The sequence below is a fragment of the Homo sapiens genome, chromosome 1, assembly GCF_000001405.40.
Source record: "Homo sapiens chromosome 1, GRCh38.p14 Primary Assembly".
Taxonomy (NCBI): Eukaryota; Metazoa; Chordata; class Mammalia; order Primates; family Hominidae; genus Homo; species Homo sapiens.
Genome location: NC_000001.11, coordinates 39,640,828 through 39,649,251, shown reverse-complemented (window position 1 = coordinate 39,649,251; position 8,424 = coordinate 39,640,828). Strand labels below are relative to the sequence as shown.

General features: G+C 50.4%; 1 annotated feature.

Annotated features, from left to right (window-relative positions):
- Positions 2,784 to 2,833: a silencer, noted in NCBI's record as "silent region_708". NCBI's record gives its function as "represses an Ori minimal core promoter by ATAC-STARR-seq in GM12878 lymphoblastoid cells {active_cell/tissue: GM12878}" and the evidence as "EXISTENCE:reporter gene assay evidence [ECO:0000049][PMID:35858748]".

The window sequence follows — 8,424 nt, the reverse complement described above, 5'->3', positions numbered from 1 at the left end:
TTTGTTTTGTTTTTTTGAGATGGAGTCTCGCTCTGCCACCCAGGCTGGAGTGCAGTGTCGCAATCTCGGCTCGCTGCAACCTCTGCCTCCTGGGTTCAAGTGATTCTCTTGCCTCAGCCTCCCAAGTAGCTGGGATTACAGGCATGCACCACCACACCCAGCTAATTTTGTATTTTTAGTAGAGACAGGGTTTCACTATGTTGGTCAGGCTGATCTTGAACTCCTGACCTCAGGTGATCCAACCGTCTCGGTCTCCCAAAGTGTTGGGATTGCAGGCGTGAGCCACCGCGCCTGGCCTAGGTTTGTTACATAGGTAAAGGAGTGCCATGGTGGTTTGCTGCACCTACCCACCCATGAATCTTCATTCTTTCCTTCCTCTGGCAAAGTTCCCCTTAGAAGCCCTATGAAGCTCCAAGTGGTATAAAGCTCACCCCAGTGTGAGAATAATACAGCCACAGCCCAAGGATATGAACTTGTTACTTGCTTGCTGGGTGACCTTGCAAAACATGTATCCTCTGTGGCTGCCAGGAGAGTGCATAACTCACATCTCCTTCGAGAGAACCTGCTGCAAGGAGCATGATTACCCAACAGCCTGCAGCAGCTGCCCCTCTGGGTCTGCTGCAGCTTTCATGGGGCAGATAGCATGCTTTTCCTAGCCTGCTCCCAGTGGTGACTGGGCATGGTGGGGAAGCTAACACCAGGCTATTTCTGTCCTACGTGGGACCCCATCTTTACTCTGGGCCCAATGAGGACTTTCTCAGAGCTGCATTGCAGTCCAAGGCTCTTCCTAACCAAGCCATCTCCCTTCTCACTCTCCTTCACAGATGTCAGACCTGCATCATGGTCAAAAGGCTCTTTCTGCTTCCTCCTGCTCCCTCTCTTTTACCCTTATAAGCAATTTATCTAGTAAATGTTCTGCATCTCCAATTGGCCTTAGCATCTGTCTCCTAGAAGGCCTGAACTGACACACCTTTTCTGAGCCATAGGACCCATGCTCATCCATCTTCTCCCCCACCCCTAGGATAGCTTAGGGCTATGCCTGATGGTGTTAAAATTCTCCATCATTGCTAAGTGGTGAAATAGAAGTGTGGGTTTCCTGTCAACATCAGAGGACATGGTGGATTCCAATTTCAGCTATACCCAGAGGTTAGGGACAGCTGCTTCCCAAGCCCTGGGTTCCCATCTCACCCAGGCTCTGCCTCAACCCCATGATCACTTCCCAGTCTCCATATCCTTCATCAAAGAGGGAGTTTGGGGGCAGAAAGGAGCCTAGGGTCTTGAACTGGGGATGAGAGCCCTGGGTTCTAATCCAGTCCCTGCTACTGGCTTCCCTTGCCTAAGCTGCAGTTACTCCATCTGTACAGCAGGACTGTGGCTTGGCTGGCCTGGATGGAGGAAGGAGAACAATGGCTGCTTCTGGTTTAAGAAATGCTGTCGCAGCTGGTGAGGTCCAAGCTCCTTCCTCTGCCTGTTATGTCCAGACTAAATGGTATAGGTGGGAAGCTCTGCCTGGAAGGATCAGGTTGGGGGCCAGGCCTAGAACCATGTCCTGACTGTGCTCTGACACCCACCAGCTGTGGGGTGTTGTGCCTGGGCTCCTGAGGTGGCCATCAGCCCCAGGAAGGGCAGCTCCCATTCAGCCACAGCTTCGTGAGATGCCACAAACAGTGGCAGAATAGGGAGGTCGGGCTGCCCTGGAGGTGTTCACAGGGAGCCACAGGAGTACAAGGAGGAAGGACTAGCTGCCAGGGGGAGGCAGGGAAGACTCCCAGAGAGGTATTTTTGTGCTGGGCTTTGTAGGATGAGTATGAGTTTTCCAGACAGAGAAAGGGAAAGGCTTTCAAGACAGAATACAAAGGCCCATCTAATACACATGAACCTGTGTTAGATGTTCCAGAAAACATGGAAAGTGGCAGGACTGGGGTAGGGGTCAGGGGAGTGATGGGAGAGTAAGCTGTCCACAGAGCAAAAAGGACTCCAAGGAGGATCTGGGTTCTACAACGTTTACTCTTACCCTGAGAGGTAGATGCTTGTCTTATTCCTGTTTTACAGATGAGGAAACTAAGGCCCAGAGAGATGGAAAGGGGCTCTGATGGGAATGCATTGGGCGGTATCAGGACCCAGTCAGGCCTGGGAGCTAGAGGCCAGGGCGTCCTCTTCGTACTGTGTGACCAATGGCAGGAACCAGGCCCTCCCCCAGCTCCCACCCCCACCCCCATGGCCATCTGACTTCAAGGAGCTCAGTCCCTCCCCTGCCACCACCCCCAGTGTCCTTGTCCTGCTGATATCACGCACACACGGAAGAGAAATATGTGAGATTCCAGAGAGGCCAGAGTGTGGGAACCAGGACAGATGCTGCTGGCCCTGCCCCCAGGCTGCCACGCCTCCAGAGCCTCTGGGTGCTGCCAAGGGGGCTCTGGAATGTGTCCGAAGCTTCTGGCTTCCTCCATGGTGGGCCACCCTCCAGGGCCTGGGAAAGCTAGGGAAGCTCTGAACACCCAGTCTGCCATTCCGCCCCTGTGTGGCTCCTGCGGGATTTGTACTGCCTGAACATAGGGGTGGGAGTGCATAAGCTTCAAGACAGCAGGGCCAGCCCAGCTGCTTTGCTCTCAGGGGCCCAGATAAGTAGAGCATGAACTCTGCAGCCCAGGGACAGGGAAGGGGAACCAAACCAACATGTTTATCACCTTACTTAGAGAAGGAGCTTGGAAGTCTGTGCGTGTACATGCATGTGTGTGTTGTAGACAGACAGACACAGACAGATGGTCCCAGCCCCCACCCTCGCTAGCCCCAGGGGTAGCTTGTGCTCCGCCTGCTCTGCACATGTGGCTCCCAGCAGCTGCACATTCCGTCAGTGACCAGCTGTGGCAGCAGCTGTGGAGGTGGAAAGTGAGCGCAGATGGGTCCCAGAGGAGCGGGGGAGGAGGGCAAGGGGAGGACAGGAAGGGCCTGGGATGAGCAGGGGGTGGGGGGAGGAGGAGGCAAGGAGGCTCAGACTGTTCTCAGGATGGAACATGGAGCAGGAAAGTGATGATGGGGCTGCCTGACATCTGGATGTGGCACAGAGAGCCTGCAGAGGTCCAGGACAGGCCCAGCACACCCCGGCTAGGTCTCGACATGTGGGTGGACCAACATGAGTGTAAGGAAAAAGACTGGGCAGTTGGATCTATGGGTCTGAACCTGAGAAAAAAAGTCTGTATTTGAGATATAAATTTGGGAATCATTGGCTCATAGAAAGAAAAGCCAGGGAGTAGGTGAACCAATTAGGGATAGAGTGGATGGAGACAGAGGCCAAACCCAAATGTAGCATTAGAGCACCCACTCTCAACACCAGGCATCACTCTCTGCATCTTACCTCATTTAACCCTCACAACAACCCTGTGGAGTGAGTGGCTTTGGTATCATCCCATTTTACAGATGAGAAAACCAAGGCACGGAAAGGCTACTCTTGTCCTGGCTCACTTTCTGTCTCACTGTGTGGCCCTGGGGATGCTTCTGTCCCTCTCTGGGTCTCAGTGTCCTTAGGCTCAAAGGCAGGACAAAGTCCTGCAGAGGGAAGACTGAGTGGCACCTGGGTGCTCCAGGTCCCTTCTTCCCCCTACTTCATCCTGGGCCATGGGCCAGGAAAGTCCTTGTATGTCTCTGCTGTTTTTCCAGGAACAAGGAAGCACCTCCTTCCCAGACAAGGTGGAGGCCTTCAGGAGCCCCTCAGTTCCCCTCCCCATCACTGGACACTCAGCCAATGTTTACCAAACACCTACCTGTGCCAGACGCCGGTAGGCATCAGGGAGATCACAGTGAACAACCCAACATGGTTCCTGCTTTTACAGGGATAACAGCCCAGGCCTCAGACAGACATAAACTATTCCACAATTAATAACCACCAACCACCACCCTGGGCATCTCTGTGCCAATCATCCTCTCCTCTGAGACCCCCCAGATACCTCCACCATGCAGCAGTTAGAGGCTCAGTGTCTGCCACAGTGGTCTCTGGAATCCTGTTCCAGTGTATAGTCTATGTGCAAGCCAACCGTTCAGAGCCCAGGCCATATCAGTTTAGTGATCTGAATACCAGCCCCAAGAGCAGACGGGATTGACCTAGTGTGGGCTCAGTGATAGAGAAAGTATTGCTGCAACTGAAACCTGTCGCTGAAAATCTCCAGCTCGCTCAGCTCTGGGACAGACAGAAAGGAGCGGAAGGTAGAATAGAGGGCCCGTCTCGTCCTCCCTCCCTTTGGATTGAGGCTGCCTGCTACTCCTGGGCCTCTCACCCTTCTCCTTACTTCTGACTCCTTCTCCATCAGTGAGCAAATTCTTCCTGAGGCTCTGCTGGTCCCTGGAGTTGCATGGCGTGCCCTCTCTCATTGACCTGCCCCTCTTTTTTGTTTTTTTTTTTCTAGAGATGGGGTCTCACTCTGTTGCCCAGGTTGGAGTGCATTGGTGCAATCAAGGCTCACTGTAGCCATGACCTCCTGGGCTCAGGTGATCCTCCCACCTCAACCTCCTGAGTAGCTGCTATTACAGGCATGAGCCACTGTGCCTGGCTGACGTGCCCCCTTTTTAAACCTGCTTCCGCAACCCTCTACCCCAGACACTTCCCAGTCCATGACATCCTGCCCTTGTCTCTGCCTCCCTTGCCTCTGTTCATTCATCCCAAGGCATCTGTGACCTCCTGATCACACTTCTTTCCTCTTAGAGCCCCTGGACTGGTGACCAAGCCCCTTTTCTCGGCTCCTGGTTGCCTTGGTCCCTGGTGCTCCATTCTCGCAGGATTCTCCTCCTTCTTCCCAGAGAATCTTTGGCTATTGTTTCCCAGGGTCCTAGCCTAGGTTCTCCTCCCTTCTGGATCTGCACTAGCTCCTTGGGACAGATATGTCATGTATCCCATGTCTTCAGCCACCAAATCTCTCCTCCAGCCCAGACCTCTCCCTGGGTTCTCCTCCTGGGTGTGCGCTAGGTCTCACAAACAGCATGGCCATAGTGAGCTCCTTCCCTTCTCCAGTGTTTCCCCTTGGTGCTTGTCACCTTCATCCATTCAGTCACCCAGACAGGAACCCAGTATCACTCGAATCCAGTCCTTATTGCCTGGCCTATTTTAAGAGTCTCCTGATTGGTCCACCCAGCTCTAATGCAGGTTGCAGTGGTTACCAGCATGAATTCTGGCGCCAGACTGCTTGGTTAAAATCCTATTTCTACCACTTAGTAGCTGTGTGATCTTGGGTAAGTTATTTAACCTCCCTGTATTTCAGGGTAACTTATGAAGAAAAGAGGTTTAATTGGCTCACGGTTCTGCAGGCTGTACAGGAAGCACAGTAGCATCTGCTTCTGGGGAGGCCTCAGGGAGCTTCCAGTCATGGTGGAAGGCAAAAGGGGAACAGGCACGTCACATGGCAAAAACAGGAACAAGAGAGGAAGCAGGGGAGGTGCCACACACCTTTAAACCACCAGATCCATGAAAACTCACTATCATGAGAACAGTACCAAGGGGATGGGACTAAACCATTCATGAAAAATCCACCTCCCTCACCTCCCACCAGGCTCCACCACCAACATTGGGGATTACAATTCAACATGAGATTTGGATGGGGACACAGATCCAAACCATATCACCATTCTATTGATATTCCATGCTTGTTCCTACCTCAGGGCTTTCCACTTGCTGTTCCTTCTGCCTGGAATCCTCTTCCCCAGATCTTCTTAGATTCCCTCTCTCCATTCGGGTCTCTGCATAAGTGATTCATCCTCAGAGACGATCTCCTGACCCCTAAGTAAAATAGCCACCAATCCCCCAGTCACCCTATGTCTCCACCTCACTTTATCTTATTTCACAGCATCTATTAATATCACTGACATTACATTATATGTGTTGCTATATGTTTGTCATCCTAAGCTCTGGCCCCTGCAATGTGAGAATGGCCCAATACAAATGGCAAGAAGGCTGTCGTGGGTGAGTGGACAAGGCAGAAAGTGGTTGGGGATGAAGCTGGAGAGATGGGCAGGGGCCTGAGCTTAGGAGATGGTACCTCCAGTGTGCCCTGAACTGCCCTGGCATGATTATTAGTATTGCCTCCTTTCACTCTCAAAGGTGCCCAGGTTATTACAGTTGTTCTGTGTATAGGGCATGGTAAGCAGTTGGCATTTTATTTCAAATGGGATGTGAAGCGTGTGGATGGTTTTGAGCAGGAAGTGACATGATCTGACTGGCATTTTAAAAGGATCATGACCAAGTCCTTGAAACACTCTTTTGGCTCCTGCCCACACCCCCCCACACACACCCCACTCTCCTCCACTGCCCTTTCAGTCTTCTCTGGCAGCTCTTTCTCTTCTACAACCTTTAAATCTTGGAGTTTCTCCAGACTAGCGGTTCCCAACTGGGGGCGATTTCTCCCCCAAGGGACATTTGGTATTTTATCTGGAGATATTTCTGATGGTCACAACTGGAGCGGGTATAACTGGCATCCAGTGGATAGAGGCCAGGGAGGCTGCTTACCATTCTACAATCCACAGAACAGCCCTACACAATAAAGAATGACCTGACCCAAAATGCCAGTAGTCCTGAGGTTAAGAAACCCTGCACCAGATTAGCACCATCCAATAGGAATATCATGGGAGCCAAATATGCAGTTTAACATTTTCTAGTAGTCACATTTTTAAAAACCTAAAAATAAAACAAGGGAAGTTAACTTTACTAATGTATTTTATTTCATCCAATATTTATACAATATTATCATTGCAACATGTAATCATAACAAAAAATATCAATGAGATAGTTCACACTTAAAAAAATTCTGGTGTGTATTTCATACTCACTGCACATACAGCAATTCAGACCAGCCACATTTCAAGTACTTAATAGCCATAGGGGGTTCGTGGCTATTATATTGATGGCATAGCTCTAGGCTCAGTACTGGATAATATATCACAATGTTTAAGAGCTGTATAATTGACGGGGTGTAGTGGCTTACTCCTGTAATCTTAACACTTTGGGAGGCCAAGGTGGGAAGATTGCTTGGCCCCAGGAGTTGAAGACCAGCCCGGGCAACATAGTGAGATCTCATCTCTACCAAAAAAAATTTTTTTTTTTTTTTTTTTTTTTTTGAGACGGAGTCTTACTCTGTCGCCCAGGCTGGAGTGCAGTGGCGCCATCTTGGCTCACTGCAAGCTCCGCCTCCCGGGTTCACGCCATTCTCCTGACTCAGCCTCCCGAGTAGGTGGGACTACAGGTGCCTGCCACCACGCCTGGCTAATTTTTTGTATTTTTTAGTAGAGATGGGGTTTCACCGTGTTAGGCAGGATGGTCTCGATCTCCTGACCTTGTGATCCGCCTGCCTCAGCCTCCCAAAGTGCTGAGATTACAGGCGTGAGCCACCACACCTGGCAAAATGTTGTTTTTTTAATTAGCTGAGCATGGTGGTATGCCCCTGTAGTCTGAGCTATTCAGGAGGCTGAGGTGGGAGGATCACTTGAGCCAAGGAGTTCAAGGTTTCAGTGAGCTACGATGGCACCACTACACTCTAGCCTGGTGACAGAGTGAATCCTTGTCTTTATTTTTAAAAGAAGGGGGAGTACTGTATAAAGTAATAAAGCCTAATGTTTTGGCTCTGGAACTGAACTGCCTTGTTGAATTCCAGCCCTTCCATTTATTGCCTGTTGGCCTTAGGTGGAGTTAGTCTACCTCTCAGCCTTTGTTTCTCACTTGTAAAGTGGGGATTATAATATTACTACTTTATAGGGTTGTCAAGGATTAAATGAGTTAATATTTACAAAAGACTTAGAATAGTTTCAGGTTTTATAATAAGGGCTCACCAAATGTTAAGTATTTAGCTAGGCCCCTGCTCTGTCTCCATCCACGTTTTCTGAATGATCCCATCTGCTCCCATAGCTTTAAATGCCATCAATTACCTAATGACGTCCAAATTTAATATCCAGCTGAGACCTCTGTTCTGAACTCCATACCCTCTATTTAACTGTGCACTGTATTTTGATGATCCAAGACATCTCACATGAAACGTCCATCACGGGGCCCTTGACCTTCCCCTGCAAATCTGCTCCTCTTCCAATCTTTGCTATCTCAGCCAATTACACAGGGCAGCTATCTGGGAGGCTTCCTTGACTTCCGCCTTTCCAGGGAATGCATAACACATTGTGCAACTTCTCTGTTAGTTGAGGTTTCCACTGACTGGCATGTGCCCACAGAAGTGATGTGAGTGCTGAGGGCATTTGGAATGAGAGTCCATAGTTGTGGCTGGGGCGACCACCAGGGCTTCCTGGTACTGATTGCTCACGACAGTTGCGCCTACCAGTATATATTTGTAAGTCTGTCCGTGTGTATGTGTTTGCATACCTGGCCAAATGGTTGTGTCTGTGGATGTGTGTGGACGGGGGCACAGGAACATTCTTTCCCATCAAGTAATCAAGTGTCCC